Below are 17,003 nucleotides of genomic sequence, written 5' to 3' on the forward strand. Positions count from 1 at the left end.
CACTCGGAGAAGCCCCAAGCTGACTCAACTCTGTCGAAACGACTGTTGTAAGCAGATCTTGGAGGTCGCCCGTGGTCTCTGCCTCCAGTGTTACTCCCAAGACGGCTGTGTTGTGTGGCAGAGGGATTCTGAAGGCATGGTGAAGTTCACCAACCCGCTGACCTTAAAACAGGGAGGTGCCTCCGGGCCTGACCTCATCACACCAACACTTTAGAAGCGGAGTTTCCTCTGGCGGGTGCAGAAGGGATGGCCAGAAAGAGCCACTCATGGGGGGACTCCACCGGCCCCTGCTGCTTGAAGATGGAGGGGCCACCAGAGGCCACCAGGCAGGGACCCGAGAGAAAGCCCTAGGAGCTGAGGGCAGTCCCTGACAACAGCTGCGAGAAAACGGGGACCTCAGTCCCACACCCACAAGGACCTGGATTCTGAACCAGCCTGGGAGGAGGCCTGAGCCCCAGGTGAGGCCCCAGCAGGGGACCCAGGCCGGCTCCTGACCTGCAGGTGTGAGCTACAAGATGGTGCAGGCTTGTCCATTTATTTACTTATTTGTATGGTAGTAAAACACACATAACATAACATTGCCCACCTGAACTATTTTAAAGAGTCCAATTCAGCCACATTCCGTGCACTCACACTGTTGTGCAGACACTGCCTCAAGCAAGCTCCAGAACTCGTTCATCTTCCCAAACGGAGACCCATCAGCAGCCGGTCCCTTCCCTCTGCCCTCAGGCCCTGGAAGCCACGAATCCACTTCATCTCCTGGGTTTCTCTACTCTAGACACTTTACATCAGTGCAAGCTTTTTATATAAACGCAGTCACTTAGCACCATGTTTCTGAGGCTCACCCACGCCATAATGTGTAAGGGAGCTTCACCCTTTTTCTGGCTGCACAATACTCCGTCGTGCGTGCGCCGTGGCCTGTTGATCTGTTCCTCGGTCCACGGACACTTGGGTTGTTTCCACCTTCTAGCTACTGTGAATAACGCTGCTGTGAACACTCATGTCCGAGTTTTTGCTCAGACACCCGTCTTCATTTCTGGCTGTGCATCCCCAGGTGTGGAACTGCAGGGTGCTATGGCAATTGTTTAGCTTTGCGAGGAATCACCAGACCATTTCCCACAGCAGCTGCACCATTTCACACTCCCAACAGGAATGTGTGCCGAGCGGGTGCTGTTTCAAGCTGCTAAGTTTCTGGTAAGTAGAAAACAGAAAACGAACACAGGGACTGGCCAGAGGGCTGGGAACAGGAGGCAGGGTGGCAGCAAGGTGGCAGCAGGGGGGTGGCGAGGGGGGGCAGCAGGGTGGTGGCAGGGCTCTCCTCCCTGGCCTCTCAGCCCAGCTCCCAAACTCCAGGTATCCTCAACCCCTCCTCCCAGCCTCAGCCCCAGCTCCACATCTCAGCTCCCAGCCTCAGCTCCAGTGGCCTCAGCTCTTGCTCCCAGCCTCAGCTAGCAACCTCACCTCCTGCTCCCGGCCTCAGCTCCTGGACTCAGCTCCAGCTTGCAGATGGATTCAGAAAGGCCCCAGGGCCTTACAGCAATGCCCCAAGACCATGCAGCTGCAGGGGGTCTGATTGGCAGGCCCCAGGAGGACTGCAGATGGGGCGGAGGTCTAAGCCCCCCACTCAGCTAAGTGGGGCATACGCCAGGGCAGGAAGGACACCTGAACGCCCACGTCCGGGTGTTGAGAAGGGCAGAGGCCTGGACAACGTGAGTGAGAGGGCGCGCGGGCACCAGATGTCCGATGAGGCCAAGGGCCTGCTGTATCCCTGTGCTGGGGGAACAGCGCCTCCCAAAATCAGGTCCCCTGGAACCCAAGAAGGCGACTTTATTTGGAAATAAATCTTTGCAGCTGTGATTAGTGGAGAACGAGATGAGGTCATCCTGGAGAGGCCCTCGCCGTAGCAGGTGTCCTTCGAGAAGAGAAGGGGAGGCGGCCTGATGACAGAGGCGGGGCCGGCGCGATGCTCCCACAAGCCAAGGAACCCCAAGGAGTGCCCGTGACACCAGCAGCCGGACAAGGAGGGCTCAGGACCAAGAGTGACCGCGGCCCTCACAGGCCGATCTGCCTTCCAGCCTCCAGCTCTGCGAGACGAGGCATTCCTGTAGCTTTAAGCCCCTCGTCTGTAGGACACTCACCCCCAAGTAAAGGCCCAGCCACGATGGGAGGGGAGCGTGAGGCTGTAGCCCTGGGGAAAGCTGTCCTTGGTCTTCCAGAGGCGAGGAGCTGCGGAACCCCCTGCGGGACACTCAGCTCCGCCCAGAACACCTGGGCTTCTCCATTTCCTCTTGGCAAGTCCCTCGGTGTTTACTTTCTCCCAGTCCAGGGAAACTCCACGCCCAGGGCTTCAGGACTCGGGTCAGGAGAATATTCCCCCTGCGGCCAACCGCAGGCACGGGGAGGAAGTGAGCCTGACCTTTCTCAGGTCCAAAGGTCCCTGAGCTCATGCAGCCCCGCACAGGGAGGGAGGAAGGTGGCTCTGCCCTGCTCCTGACCTGAGACACCAGGGCCACAAATCACCTGTCCTGGGGCCTTCCAGGCCTCATGGTCCTGGGCTTCAGGGCTGCCCTTGGTTTGTACTTGGCCGGTCTTTCGTTGGGTTGGGAATACTGGTAGGGAGGTGCAGGGGTCCCAGGCAGAAACCGACAAGAAACCTGTGGTCGCCAGACCTTCTTGGCACCTGTCACCAGGTCACATCTGATTTGCTGAGCCCCATGGCAGAGTCCAGATGAAAATGCCGGCTGGGCATGGTGGCTCACGCCTGTAATCCCAGCACTTTGGGAGAACGAGGCAGGAGGCTCACTTAAGGCCAGGAGTTCGAAATCAGCCTGGCCATCATGGTGAAACCCCATCTCTACTAAAAATACAAAAATTAGCTGGGCGTGGTGGTGCGTACCCCTAGTCCCAGGTACTCAGGAGGCTGAGGCACGAGAATTGCTTGAACCTGGGAGGTGGAGGTTACAATAAGCCGAGATCACGCCACTGCACTCCAGCCTGGGCGATAGAGCAAGACTCTGTCAAAAAAAAAGAAAGAAAGAAAAGAAAAGAGAGAGAAAGAAAAAGGAAGGAAGGAAGTTAGGAAGGAAGGAAGGAAGGGAGGAAGGAAGGAAGGAAAGAAAGAAAAGAAAAAATGCCTACCTCCTGGGACAGAGTCTCTGTGAAATGCAGCCTCTTCCCTGAACTATGCACATGCCCGCGCGCGCGCGCACAGCAATGGCCGCCCTGCAGACAGCCAGGCCTCGGAAGTCTGGACGTCCGCGAGGCAGAGAGGCGGGGGCGGGCCACTGACCCACGCACAGCCGGCACCTGCATTTCCCCTTTCCCAGAACCAGATGGGGCAGGGGAAGTGGGGTGGGGGTTTCAGTTCCTCTTGACCTCATCAAGACACTGTTGTCTAGAACCTTCTTTCTGCCCATCACGGTAATTGGAGATACTGCTAACTAGCTCCCACCTCTGCCTGCCCGCTTCATGCCTGCCATCCTTGGCATCCCTACTTAAAAAAAAGCTCTCCATTTTTGCAGGAAACCCGAGTGAAGGCTGAGTGCCCCATGAGGGACCCGGGCTCTGACACAGACAGACTGTCCCGGCTGGAGTCCAGCTCCTGGACGACCTGGGTCTCCCCGTTCTGCACTGGTATCGCGCGGTGAGGCGGCGCTGATCAGAACCTCAAAAGACCTGACCCCGAACACCGTCATCCCAAATCCTGAGCTCCTGAAAGATCAAAACCTAACATGTTGGTGTTCTGACCAGTTTCTCTGTGAATGGTTCATCTGCACATAACTCATATCCACGTGACTGAATGAGCACACCTGTGTGTCTGTGCTGGAGAAAATGTTATGATCACCGACTTTATTGGGTAAAGTCGCCTATGAGGGGTGCTGTCGTGTTTTTCAGTTTCTCAAATCCCCCTTAAAATATAAATAAATAAATGTATTTTATTTATTTATTTATTTATTTTTCTTTTTTGAGACAGAGTCGCTCTGTTGCCCAGGCTGGAGTGCAGTGGCACAATCTCGGCTCAGGGCAACCTCCACCTCCCAGGTTCAAGCGATTCTCCTGCCTCAGCCTCCCGAGTAGCTGGGACTACAGGCGCCCGCCACCACACCCGGCTAATTTTTTGTATTTTTAGTGGAGACGGAGTTTCACTGTGTTAGCCAGGATGGTCTTGATCTCCTGACCTCGTGATCCACCCGCCTCGGCCTCTCAAAGTGCTGGGATTACAGGCATGAGCCACCGCGCCCGGCCAAACAAATGTCTTTTACAGAATGTTTTCGAATTAGTTTTTCCAGAATTATAATTTTGGGATTTTGATCTTTCAGGATGTCAGCATTCAGAACTGTGTCCCAGGATCGTGGCCCAGACCCACAGGGCAGGGGCGTGCACTTTTGAGGGTTCTGAAGACGACTCAACAGGGTGCCTGACCTGCTGGTAAGGACTCAGGAGACCTCACCTGTCCTCGTCACACTCATGGAAGGGGACTCCAGATCCCTGGCGTAGCTGGTCTGGGAACTGGGGAGGGATGGGCAGTGCCCGGTATAGGGTGCAACCTCCAGTGCCCACATTAGCACGTCTGTTGCTGTGAGATTCTATCCTGTGGACACCTGTGGCTGTAACACACACCTTCCCACTGCTGTCACAGGAGTGATACTCTTTCCGATTCTAACATCAGTGTGTGCACATTTTGGGAAAACCAGCAAGTACAGAAGAAGAATTTAGGCCGGGCCCAGTGGCTCACGCCTGGAATCCCAGCACTTCGGGAAGTCAAGGCAGGAGGATCGCTGGAGGCCAGGAGTTTGAGATCAGCCCGGGCAACATAGTGAGACCTCATCTCTATTTAAGAAAGAAAAAGACCACTGGTCCTCCCAGTGTTTACAAGATTTTTCCATTAAAACAGGAGGGATCATAATGAGCGGCCTAACAAAGACATTTAAAGACACGCCAAGAAGGGGCGCAGACAGGAGTCCTGAGATGCAGTCATGGGAACCCGCACCTGTTTTCCCGCCCTGGGCACCCAGCGTGGACAGGCTGGCCGGTGCCAGGGTGAGCAGGGCAGGCTGAGGTCTCCAGTGGGTGGGGACAGGTTAGGGGGCAGCAATTCAGTGACCCTGTCCAGGACTGGGTCCCTTGCAGAAGGTGAGGTCAGCCAGGGGTGGGGGTGGTGGCTGTGGAATCCGTTGTCTGGTCTATAGGGGGTCCCCCTACCGAAGCCCTAACCCTCTCCCCTTCACCACCCCAGTGATCTCCTGGCCCAGGCTGCTGCCTCCAGCAGCTCCCCAGCCCCCAGGACAGTCCTTCAGGACTCTAGGGGGAGTCCCGTCTACAAGGACGGCTCACCAGTCTCCCGCCACAGCCAGTGAGGATGGGGTCCTGCAGCCGAAGTGGTGTGTGCCCAGTGTGGTGTCCCTGGCAGGCTGGGAGGGTGCCCCCAGCTGCCAGTTAGTGAGGCTGGGTTAGCACGAGGGCAAGGAGCTTGGATTCTGGGGCTGACAGCCTGAGCTCAACTCCAGCGCCCCATCTTGCTGGGGCTCCTCCGCCTGGAGGCGGCTCCTCCACCTGCCTCTGCCTCCGTTTCTGCAGCAGTTGCCTGCCGGACTCCAGCCCGAGGCGGGGGCCACGGCTGACCCAGCTGGAGAACGCCCCACTGGCCCAGTCAGTGCTGTCCTCTGCACCTGATGGCTTCTCTTGGCAGGGAGGGCTCCCCCGCCCCCGGGCTCTGTGCCAGCCAGAGGTTCCGCAGGAGCTGCTCACTTCCTCCCGCCGGCAGAGGCAGCCTGCGGGGCGGCTCCAACCTGGAGAAACCAAAATCAGGGCAAGTCCCTGGCTGCTTCCCTGGAAAGCCCCGACGGAGTCCCCGCTCCTTCCCGCCGGTTCTCAGGGTGCTTTATTTCAGAAGGGGATTTCTTCCTCCTGAGAATCTGATGGCCACAGGGTGCCTGTCACATGTCCACATCGGGCCCTCCTGGCTGTCACCAACTTGTCCAACTGTCAGAGGTGTTTGAACCAGAGCGACTCCGTCTTGAATAGGGGCTGGGTGGAATGAGGCTGGGGCCTGCTGGACTGCGTTCCCGGGAGGGTAAGGCATTCTTAGTCACAAGACAGGAGGTTGGCACAAGATACAAGTCACGAAGACCTTGCCGATAAAGCAGGTTGCAGTAAAGAAGTGGCCAAATCCCACCAAAACCAAGATGGTGACTAGAGTGACCTCTGGTCGTGCTCGCCACTCATTATACACAAATTCTAATGCATTAGCTGCTAAGAGACACTCCCACCAGCGCCATGTCCACAAATGCCATGGCAACGTCCGAAAGTTACCCTGCACGGTCTAAAAAGGAGAGGAAGCCTCAGTTCTGGGAATTGACCACCCTTTCCCAGAAAATTCATGAATAATCCACTCCTTGTTTAACATATAATCAAGAAATGACCAAAATAAGCATAAGAATATTCAGCTGAGCAGCCCAGCCCTCCGCACTGCCTCTGGAGTAGCCATTCTTTATTCCTTTACTCTATTAATAAACTTCTCACTTGACTCTCTGGACTCACCCTGAACTCCTTCCTGTGTGAGGTCCAAGAACCCTCTCTTGGTGTCTGGATCAGGACTCCTTTCTGGTAACACAAGCACACAGAGACGTCTCCAGGGAGTGGGAGGGCCCACTGAGCAGGCCGCAGAGGCAGAGGCTGAGCGCCATCCCACACACTCATCACCAGGGGACGGGCCACCCACACCACACCGGCAGCCCCCTCATACCCCCATGCTCCAGCCCAGAAGGCTGCCCTGGGCCGGCTCTCTATGCTGCCTCGATTTCCCCCTTTCTAGGCCTTGCTTGGGATGAAGGTCACTGCACACCAGATGTCTGCACGTACCGGAGCAGAGCGGGGCCGCCTGGAGCCCCTTCCCACCAACCAGAGCTGCGGCCAGGCAGGGTGGAAATGCAGGCTGTGGGGAGACGAAGGTCAAGTCCCAGAACATGGACGTGTCCCGGGCTCCTGGCTGGTGGGGGCCTGGTCCCTGGCGGGGAGAGGCAGCAGTGCAGGAGCCAGGGCTGTCTGCAGGGAACCAGCCAGGTGGGCTTGGGGGTCACAGGGTCCCTCAGGCCTCTGCTTTGCTCTCTGCTCTCTCTCTTCCTCGGAAGAAGTCTGTGCTGTTGGTCACTTCGCTTTCATTCAACAAGCACAGAGGGAGCACCTGCTCGGGCCAGGCCCTGGGCTGGAACCACGTGGGCGAGTCCCTGCACCCTGGAGCTAAGGTTCTGGGGAGAGGAGACCGGGAGGCAGGCGGTGCCCGTGTGTGCGCGGGTGAGAAGCCTCAGGGAGCGTGCGGCCGAGGAGGAGCCGCCTCAGCAGATCTCGGGAAGAACTTTCCAGGCAGAACGGTCCGTGCAAAGACCCTGGGGCAGAGGTGCTCAGACACAGCCAGGGGGCTGAGGGCAGAGGTCTGGGGTCAAGCTGGGGCTGGAGGGTGGGAGGGGTCCCCGGGAGGGGGTGTCCTGGCTCCTGGTGGCTCTTCTAGGGCAGGGACCTGGGCTGCTCCACTTTCACACTCCTGGGGTTTCCCCGGGAGCCTTCTCTGTGGCAAGAAGCCTGTCCTGGAAAGTCCCGGACCACAAGTCAACAAGGAAAGGTCAGCTCTGGGCTATGGCCGGGCCAGGCCAGGCCTGTGCCCTGTGGTGCTCCCGAGGACGGGGCCAGCGACCCTGTGTCCTGCTCCAGCCCCTCTGTGGGTGCAGGAGGTTGGGGGCTGCCCTCCCAGGAAATACCACTGAGGCCTCGGCTCTCAGGCTGCCCACAGGGCCTCTCCCACTGAGGCAGCGGGGGCAGCAGGGCCACAGCCCCCGCTTACCCCCTACCCAAGCCCTCTGCCCTTAGGCGTGCAGCCACACCCAAGAGTGTCAGGCCTGGGGTCCTGGGTGTGGAGCTGAGGGGCCTGGGCAGGGCAGATGGGGGAAACTGGGGGTCCAGGTTACAGCAGGCTGGGAGGGTGAGAGGTGGCCTGAGCACCAGTGGCCCTCTGGGATGTGACATTTACTCTGAGGGTGAGAGGAGAGGCCGGGAACAGAGAGGGCAATGAGCAGGGAGGCAGAGGCGGCAGAGACGTGCAGAAGCAGGAGAACTGGGCAGAGCACCTAACCCGCTCCGCTCCGTCCCGTAGCCTCTCCCCTCCAGGCACAATCTGCCTTCCTCCTCCAGGCACAAGAGAGTTGGCCAACGCCTCCTGGGGCAAAGTCCCCAGGTGAAGAGCGGCTGCTCTAAGGTTTAACCTCCAGGTTATCACAAACCCAGGGAGGGGAAGGAGGGACAAGTTGTTATAAAAGACAAACCCCGGTGGCAGGACATCCTCCCAGCAGAGTCAGTGCCACTCTAACAAGCTGGGGCACGATTCCAGAAAGGCAAGGCGTGGCACCGAGTGAGGGCACCTGGGACATCCGAGCGCGAGTGGGAGGCTAGATGCTGTGTGGAGTTTTCCGAAGGCCTTGTTGTGATGGCGGCGACGCGGGGAGTGTCCTCATTCCCAGAAGTTTGCTGATTGATGTTTTTAGGGCCAGTGTTCAAATGTCTGCAACTTGTGTTCAAAAATGGCGCATGAAAAAATAATGCGAATGGAACACGGATCCTGAAAGAGGTTGGGTGCCTTTCAAGCGTTTCCTGAGGGGACGGGCTGGGCGTCCACACTCTTATTCTTTACACTTTTCTACGTACATCACAGTTTTCACAACACGCACACATCGGGATGGCTATTATCAAAACACAGAAAATCACAAGTGCGGGCAAGGATGTGGAGAACCAGACCCCTTGGGTGCTGCTGGCAGGAGTGTAAAACAGTGCTGCCACCGTGGGAAGCAGGATGGCAGTCCCTAAAACAATTCAAATAGAACTGCCAGGCCAGGGGCGGTGGCTGGCACCTGTAATCCCAGCACTTTGGGGGCCGAGGCAGGAGGATCACTTGAAGCCAGGAGTTCGCAACCAGCCGGGGCAAAATGGCAAAATTCTGTCTCTACAAAAAAATGAAAACTTAACCAGCCATGGTGATGGCCACCGGTAGTCCCAGCTACGTGGGAGGCTGGGCTGGGAGGCTTGCTTGAGCCCAGGAGACCCAGGTTCCCGTGAGCTATGATCATGCAGCTGCACTTTAGCTGAATTCTTCAGCAGAAATAAAAACTTCGGTCACACTGGTGTATACTGTCTTATTCTGTGCCCCTTAAGAAAGGTTTGATTCCCTAATTCCTTTTTATACACTAGTTTTTTTTCAAAAGTGTTTGCAGGGTTAGATCGCGTCTCTCGTCTCCACACTGCAGGTAACTGGGTAGAAACTCTGCCCTCATGCATCAGACACGCTCCTGGTTCCCTGCAATCGGACCTGTCACTACAAACAGACCAAGCTTTCCAGATGCCAGTGGTGGTGGGAAAGCTGACAACACTCCCTACAGCAGGATGACGGAGGACACAGCCTGCTCTATAACGTCAAAGTGGCCTCTGGGTCCTCGTCCCAGGGCAGAAACAGACTCCTAAGTGTGAACGGAAAACAGAGGATTATTAAAATTGTCACCTAATGCAGAAGCCCTGCTACGCCCTTAGGTGGTCAAGGCTGATTTCTTACCCATCCACGACCGCAAAGGAAACCGTTCTTTGTTGGGGTCGAAGAGCATGAACCCTCTTTAGAATGGATAGTGTTGGCCAGGCACGGTGGCTCACGCCTATAATCCCAGCACTTTGGGAGGCCGAGGCGGGCCGATCACCTGAGGTCAGGAGTTCAAGACCAGCCTGGCCAATATGATGAAACCCCGTCTCCACTAAAAATACAAAAATTAGCCGGGCATGGTGGCATGTGACTGTAGTCCCAGCTACTCAGGAGGCTGAGACAGGAGAATTGCTTGAACCTGGGAGGAGGAGCTTGCAGTGAGCCGAGATCGAGCCACTGCACTCCAGCCTGTGTGTCAGAGTGAGACATCATCTCAAAAACAAAACAAAACAAAAAAACCAAGATGGATCGTGTCCATGTCTGCACCACCACACATCAAACAATCCAACAGGTGGAACTGTGCAGACTTCCCCACACTCAATGTCCTCTTTCCAATGTCGCTGTTCGCTATCTGTGGATGTCCCTAAATGGCCTCAGAAGTTTCCATTAGAAGAAATTAGAGATATTGTAGGTTTTAAGTCATTGAGCAATCACTTACTAATTACAAGTCACTTATTTATTAGACAAAAATGAACATTTTATGTGCACAAAGATAGTATCATAAGAGGTGTGGCGTTTTGCCATTGGAACCTGGGCATACGGTCATTTGTCCTGCAGTTTCTCGTGTACTGAAAGGTGGCGTGGATCCTACAGTTTCTCGTGTACTGAAAAGCGGTGTGGATCCTACAGCTTCTCTACTGAAAGGTGGCGTGGATCCTACAGCTTCTCGTGTACGGAAAGGCGGCGTGGATCCTACAGCTTCTCTACTGAAAGGTGGCGTGGATCCTACAGCTTCTCGTGTACGGAAAGGCGGCGTGGATCCTACAGCTTCTTGTGTACGGAAAGGCGGTGTGGATCCTACAGCTTCTCTACTGAAAGGTGGCGTGGATCCTACAGTTTCTCATGTACGGAAAGGCGGCGTGGATCCTCAGCTTCTCGTGTACCGAAAGGCGGCGTGGAGCAGCACAAGGAGCTTGAGCGTTGCAATGAGAAGTCATGGCTGTGAATCCCACCCCATCACGTTTTGAATGTTGGGCAAATTAATTAATCGTTTTATCCACTTACTAGGCGATGTATAGTTTGTATACTTCATGCCAGTCATTGTTTTAGACTCTTAGGATGCAAAGATAAATAAGAAAGTTGCTTTGGGCAAAGAGTGAGACCTTTTTCTTAAAAAAACAAAACAAAAGAATTACCATGTGATGAGCACTTCTCCTTCTGGGTGCATACCCAGTGCTCTGAGCTACAGCGTCTAACGTTCAAGCCAGCTTCTCAATCGGACCCCAGGATCCTTTCTAGAGAGAAATCCTGTCCACGTCGCCCTCCTAGCTGGCACGGCTGCAGGCACCAGTGTCGTGGCAGCGGGAAGGGGAGGACGGGCTTGGTGAAAGGGGACTGGGGCCTCCTCACTCCTGGGGCTGCCAGCTCCCTCACCCTGAAATCAGACCCACGCCCGCCCTGCACTTCCTGAGTGTTTCCTGAGACCAAGGGATCAGAGCTTCGGCTGTGAGGGGCGGTGCTGTGCCCTGGGACACACGGAGCCACAGCCTCCGCTTCCAGGGTGCCCTGGGGCCTCTCTCCACGTCTCCCTAGGGGCAACCGCCACAACTACTCTGTGTCGTGTGTCCTGCGCCGTCCATCCGACCCCTCGCAACTCATCCCAAGCCTGGGGGGCTCTGGGGGACAGGGCAGGTGGGGCCATGTGACCAGGAGAACCTGCTGGTGTCTCCGGCCTCCACTGGGTGCCCCAGGACTGTGGTCAGCAGGGTGGAGCCCCTGATGCAGCTTCACTGCCTGCTGCAGCCAGAGGGGGACGGGGTCCCACCCACAGCCCCTCCTCCGGAGCCCCCAGCTCTCCCCTCCGAATCTCTCCACCCACCGCACCCCTGAGCGTGAGGGGCACTGGGGTCTCCTCCCGGAAGTGGGGGTCCCGCCTGGCCCCTGAAGCCCTGGGGAAGGGTTTCTGTGGAGCTGCTCATGGTCCCTGCCTGTCCTGCCCCCGGGCCCAGGGCCTGGCTCCACCGCCCCGGCATGTCATTCCCGGGGGTGGGGGCGGCACCACGGAGAAGTCAGACTCCGGCTGGGCTGGCAACAAGGGTGGGGTCAGAGGAGCCCCGTGGCGCTGTGGAGGGTGACCGGGTGCCAGGGTCCCGGGAGCTGCAGGGTTTGGGGCTGAGGCGCAGGATGAGGCCGACACAGGGGTCCTGGGGCGCGGGCGGTCCGAGCCGTCCCCTCACCGCCCAGCCTCGTAGGGGCCCGCTGTGGGCCAACTGCAGCAGGAGCTGGGGACACAGCCGTCTCACACCTGCCTCCTGGTGCGTTTCTGGGGCTCAGGGATAGGCGTCCTCACTCAGGACACACAGGACTGGTCTGGCCGTGGGGTCAGGCCAGGAGGCATCCCCTTTGCACCTCCTCACACCCCTGTGGGGAGGGGAGGGCCCTGGGAACCCATAGACGCCTGCCCCACAGCAGCTGAGGTCCCGCAGCAGCCAGCAGGGCTGGGCCACTTGAGGCCTCCGGCTCTGATCGCCCAGAGGGCGCACGGGGTTTGGTGCAGCCTCTGATGGGCACGAGGCGGCCGCACGGGATGAGCACAGTGGGCGTCCCTTCCCCATGGCCAGGACTCCAGGCTGGAATGTGGAGGTTCCCGAAACCCACACTGGAAGGCACCCCATGGATATGCTGGGGACTGGGGCCGAGAAGAGGGCACTGCAGGCACGCGGTGGGGTGGCCTCCCAACGCCCAACTCTCCTGCACACCCCAGCCCCTCCCGCAGGCCTGGGCATGGAAGTGAGCCCGGGGCGGGTTCAGGCAGCAGTCAGGGCCTTTGTTTCAGTGCCGTAAGCTGGCCAAGTTCAACATCCAGGGGGATAAACAAAGGTCCTGCACACGGCCTGCACTGGGCGGGAGCAGCTCCAGAGAACCTGCCTGGGCCAGGGCTGCCCACAGCGCGGGGGCAGCATCTGTGGGCACACCCGGACCCTGGGTGACCAGTGTGGGGGCCTCTCTGCATGCTCAGGCAGGTGCAGACAAGGCCGCGGCCTGGGCAGCCATCTGCCTGTCACTGCCTGGGCAGCCATCTGCCTGTCACTGCCTGGCCAGTCATCTGCCTGTCACTGCGTCTCAACAACTGGTGCCACAATTCTGTGCTGACAACAATCTCCACGCTGCAGCCACCGCCCGCCCCACAGGCCCCTCACCCTCAGGCCACCCGCCCGCCCCACAGGCCCCTCACCCTCAAGCCACCCGCCTGCCACACAGGCCCCTCACCCTCAGGCCACCCGCCTGCTACACAGGCCCCTCACCCTCAGGCCACCCGCCTGCCACACAGGCCCCTCACCCTCAGGCCACCCGCCTGCTACACAGGCCCCTCACCCTCAGGCCACCCGCCTGCCACACAGGCCCCTCACCCTCATGCCACCCGCCTGCCACACAGGCCCCTCCACCTGAGACGCCAGCAAAGGAGGCCGAGAGGAGAAAGCCCCAGGCCGGCTTCCCGGCTGCCACTCCCCGCACCCCGTGCCAGTTGAACTCCTGAGGCTTCAGGGTCCAGCCTCTCTGCAACCTCGGCTCCACCCCGCCCTCCCCATGCCTTCAGATTCCTCCGCTGGCTCTGAATGGGGTGCTGGGAGGGCCCCTCCTTCTGCAGCTCAACAGCCACGTGAAGCCCTCGCTGCTCCAGGAAACGGGGCCCCGAAGGCTGGCCCACGGAGATGGAGGCAGGCACCCGCCATCCTCAGCACCAGGACCACGGGTTCCATCCTGGCTGCACACCGCGCTCCCTGGAGAGCTGTAATGTGTCCCGATGCCCAGGCCACCGCCTAGCCAGTCCACCCTGGACAGTGGGGAGCGGGGTCCCCGCATCAGCACTTCTGAAGGTTCCTGGGTGACCTCAAGGTGCAGCGGGAGAGATACTCACCACTCATGGGTGGTCCCCGGCCCAGTGCTCCCCGGAGCTGGGGAGGGGCTCCATCTCAGCCACCCAGACCGAGGGACCCATGTCTGCACCCACAGGACCCCAGGGGCTCCCTGTGCTTGCCAGGTGCAGCCACAGTGCGCAGCGAGGACTCAGCGAGGGACAGGTAGCAGCAAGGCCAGCTTTAACTCGAAGGGGCCCAGCCCAAGCTGCCAGGTGTCTGGGTCCCCGATCAGGGTCTGTATCAGCTCCCATTGCTGGCACTGCCAATCATCACACAGCAGAGGGCTTAAAAGGACAGTTTATTCCCTCATGGTTCTGGGGCCAGGAGCCTGAGGTCAAGCGTGGGGAGGCAGTGGCTCTGGGGATCCGCCCTGCACCTCCCTCCTGTCACAGTCCTGCCCTTCTCAGCCCATGGACGTGCCCTCCACCTCTGCTGGTCTCCCTCCAGGACACGCCACTGGACTCAGGGCCCACGCAGGCAACCTGGGGTGACCTTATCTTGAATCTTGAGATCCTTAACTCGATCACATCTGCAAAGGCCTTCCCGAGGTTCCAGGTGGACGCGTCCCTTCCCGAGGTTCCAGGCGGACGCGTCCCTTCCCGAGGTTCCAGGCGGACGCATCCCTTCCCGAGGTTCCAGGCGGACGCGTCCCTTCCCGAGGTTCCAGGCGGACGCGTCCCTTCCCGAGGTTCCAGGCGGACGCGTCCCTTCCCGAGGTTCCAGGCGGACGTGTCCCTTCCCGAGGTTCCAGGCGGACGCGTCGCTTCCCGAGGTTCCAGGCGGACGCGTCCCTTCCCGAGGTTCCAGGCGGACGTGTCCCTTCCCGAGGTTCTAGGTGGACATGTCTTTTGAGAGGGCCTCAGGTTAACCCACTACTGTGTCTGAATCTGTCCCTTCCCCAAGCAGCAGCTCTGTGTCCCGGCATGGCCACTGTGGGGCAGAGACACAGCAGATCCCACATCTCTGTGCCCTGCAGACCCGTCAGCCCTGGGGATGCTGGTCTGGGACGGACCCCTAGATATCACACAGCCGAGAGGTAGGTCAGCGCTTTAAGATGCTGATACCGCTGGTTCAGCTCCTGGAGCAGAATTCTCAGGGTGGATTTCCAGCAACGCCTCCTGGGAGGGTCAGCAGGGGCTGGGGTCCGTGGGGTGGTCTCCGGGAGGTTTGCCTGTGTCAGGCCTGTGCTGCTTCTGGCGGAGGCGCTTGTCCAGCCTCATCCAGCCTGGTGTCTCCGGTGCCACGCGCTAACACCTTCAGTGCACGCTCGGGAACGCGCCTGGAAGGCCCTGCCCTGCCCCGCCCCAGGCTCCAGCCAGATGCTGCCAGCACCCGGGCCCTAGGCTATGCCAGTCCCACAGGACTTGGGTGAAAGTGGGTCCCAGAGGCAGGGCAGAGGGGAGCTCCTGTCTGGGGGCGCATGCTGGGCACCTGATCTATACCCAGAAGCCCATAGGGAGCAGGGTCCACAGGGCTGGCGATGCCGCTCCCAGGAAGCCTTTGTGGGCTCAGACACAGGACCCAACAGCCCTGCAACAGTGCCTGGAGCCAGACGTTCACCCCAGATCCTTCTGTGGGGTGAGACTGCAGGTCAGGCCGAGGCGTGTCAGCCAGGGTGGTGTGACTGCACCTCCAGAGCCAGCAGCAACGGCCAGGCTCAGATTAACGTTCAGAAACTCTGGCACCTCCAGAGCCAGCAGCAACGGCCAGGCTCAGATAGAACATTTAGAAAGAACTCTGGCGGGCAACCGTGGGTGGCAGAGTCACAGCTAATTCACAATTTACAGCCAAGACTGTCCCTGATCCAGTCTAGAGAGAACCTGTTAAGGAAAAATTATCCTGGTGCTTATCGTAATGGCAAGGAAGACTTCATTATGGACTCCCGCAGTGAGGGAGAGACGGGCTCTATGTTGGGTGCAGCAGGACAAGGGGGGTTCACAGCCGAGAAGTGAGGGGGTCCGTGGCTGGAAAATCACCAGGAGGGTGCGGCAGGGCCGGGGCATCCTGCTGAAGGCGTCGAGGACTGAGGTCTGATCTGCTCCTGGAGCTCAGACATCGGGGTGGGATTCTCTCTGACCTGACTCTGGGTTCCTGCTCCGTTGGACTCGGCAGGGTTGCACATGGAAGCCCAAGGTTGAGTCCCCCTCAAGAAGAGGCTCCAAGAGTCTCTGCCGCGCCTGTGTCATTTGGCCGCAAGCACATCTGTGTGGGCCAGAGTGTTGGGGAGATCCACCCCTGCTCAAAGAGTGGGCAGGGGCTGAAGCCAGGAGGTGGGCCCTGCGTAGGGGTAGCACCCACGAAAACAGAGCGAGGAGGCACACGTAGGCTGAAGCATCCAGGAGCCAGGGCCTCAGGAGTGGGCAACACGGAGAGCCAGGGAGGACGGTGGCCACCTGGATCCCGGAGAGCCACCACGAAGTATCCCAAAGCTCTGGGCATTGAGGAAGCCTGATCAAGGAAACCCGAGAGAACTGACATCGTCAGACGCAGGCTGGCCGGGCTGGCAGTGGCTGAAGGTCTGGGATGGGGCCCCTGCCACGTGGCCACCACAGGCTGAGCAGAGCCCAGCGGGGAAGGACCCACCAGCTCCCCTGGAGACCCTTTCCACCCCTGGCTCTGGGGGCCAACCCTACAACCAAAGTCCTGCCCTCCCCAGGGGGCCAGGACCACCTCCCTTTCCCTGGGCCCTGGGAGTGGAGAGGAAACGGCTTCCTTTTTCTCCCCCAGCCCAAGATCTAGAAAAGCGGGGCTTAGCCGGGCACGGTGGCTCACACCTGTAATCCCAGCGCTTTGGGAGGCCGAGGCCGGTGGATCTCCTGAGGTCAGGAGTTCAAGACCAGCCTGGCCAACATGGTGAAACCCCGTCTCTACTAAAAATACAAAAATGAGCTGGGTGTGGTAGCAGGCACCTGTAATCCCAGCTACTTGGGAGGCTGAGGCAGGAGAATCCCTTGAACCCAGGAGGCGGAGGTTGCAGTGAGCCAAGATTGCACCATTGCACTCCAGTCTGGGCAACAAGAGCAAAACTCTGTCTCGAAAAAAAAAAGAAAAGAAGAAAAGAAAAGCAGGGCTCATACCATATGCCATGGGCACCTGACACACAGGCCCCTGCCTGCCCAGACCCTCCACATGTATCCAGGCCCCGAGTGAGTGTCCAGCCCCCCCACCGTGTGTCCAGCCCCCCGCCACGTGTCCAGCCCCCCGCCACGTGTCCAGCCCCCCTGCCACGTGTCCAGCCCCCCGCCACGTGTCCAGCCTCCCTGCCGCGTGTCCAGCCCCCTGCCGCGTGTCCAGCCCCCTGCCGCGTGTCCAGCCCCCCTGCTGCGTGTCCAGCCCCCTGCTGTGTCCAGCCCCCCTGCGTGTCCAGCCCCCGCCACGTGTCCAGCCCCCGTGTCCAGCCCCCCACCGCA

The 17,003-nt window shown here is 59.1% G+C and overlaps 1 long non-coding RNA gene and 1 other non-coding gene across 3 annotated transcripts, besides 1 other annotated feature; one reads left to right on the forward strand and one right to left on the reverse strand.

The window, feature by feature from the left end:
* Positions 1 to 17,003: part of a sequence alteration artifact (region identified as an assembly artifact by the Genome Reference Consortium. This region falsely duplicates sequence located at GRCh38 chr21:44095806-44253496) that runs on past both edges of the window.
* LOC107987292 (putative proline-rich protein 21) lies at positions 520 to 3,433 on the reverse strand. The gene is made up of 2 exons (XR_007067921.1): positions 3,139 to 3,433; positions 520 to 2,994 (listed from the first exon to the last, which is right to left on the reverse strand). It is a non-coding gene; the product is annotated as a putative proline-rich protein 21 (transcript).
* CH507-9B2.8 (uncharacterized) lies at positions 3,360 to 4,763 on the forward strand. 2 transcript variants are annotated; one of them, XR_007067920.1, is made up of 4 exons: positions 3,360 to 3,420; positions 3,522 to 3,856; positions 4,320 to 4,428; positions 4,640 to 4,763. It is a non-coding gene; the product is annotated as an uncharacterized CH507-9B2.8 (long non-coding RNA). The 2 variants fall into 2 exon arrangements; XR_007067919.1 differs by having other exon boundaries at positions 3,405 to 3,856.

The sequence above is a fragment of the Homo sapiens genome, chromosome 21 (assembly GCF_000001405.40).
Source record: "Homo sapiens chromosome 21, GRCh38.p14 Primary Assembly".
Taxonomy (NCBI): domain Eukaryota; kingdom Metazoa; phylum Chordata; class Mammalia; order Primates; family Hominidae; genus Homo; species Homo sapiens.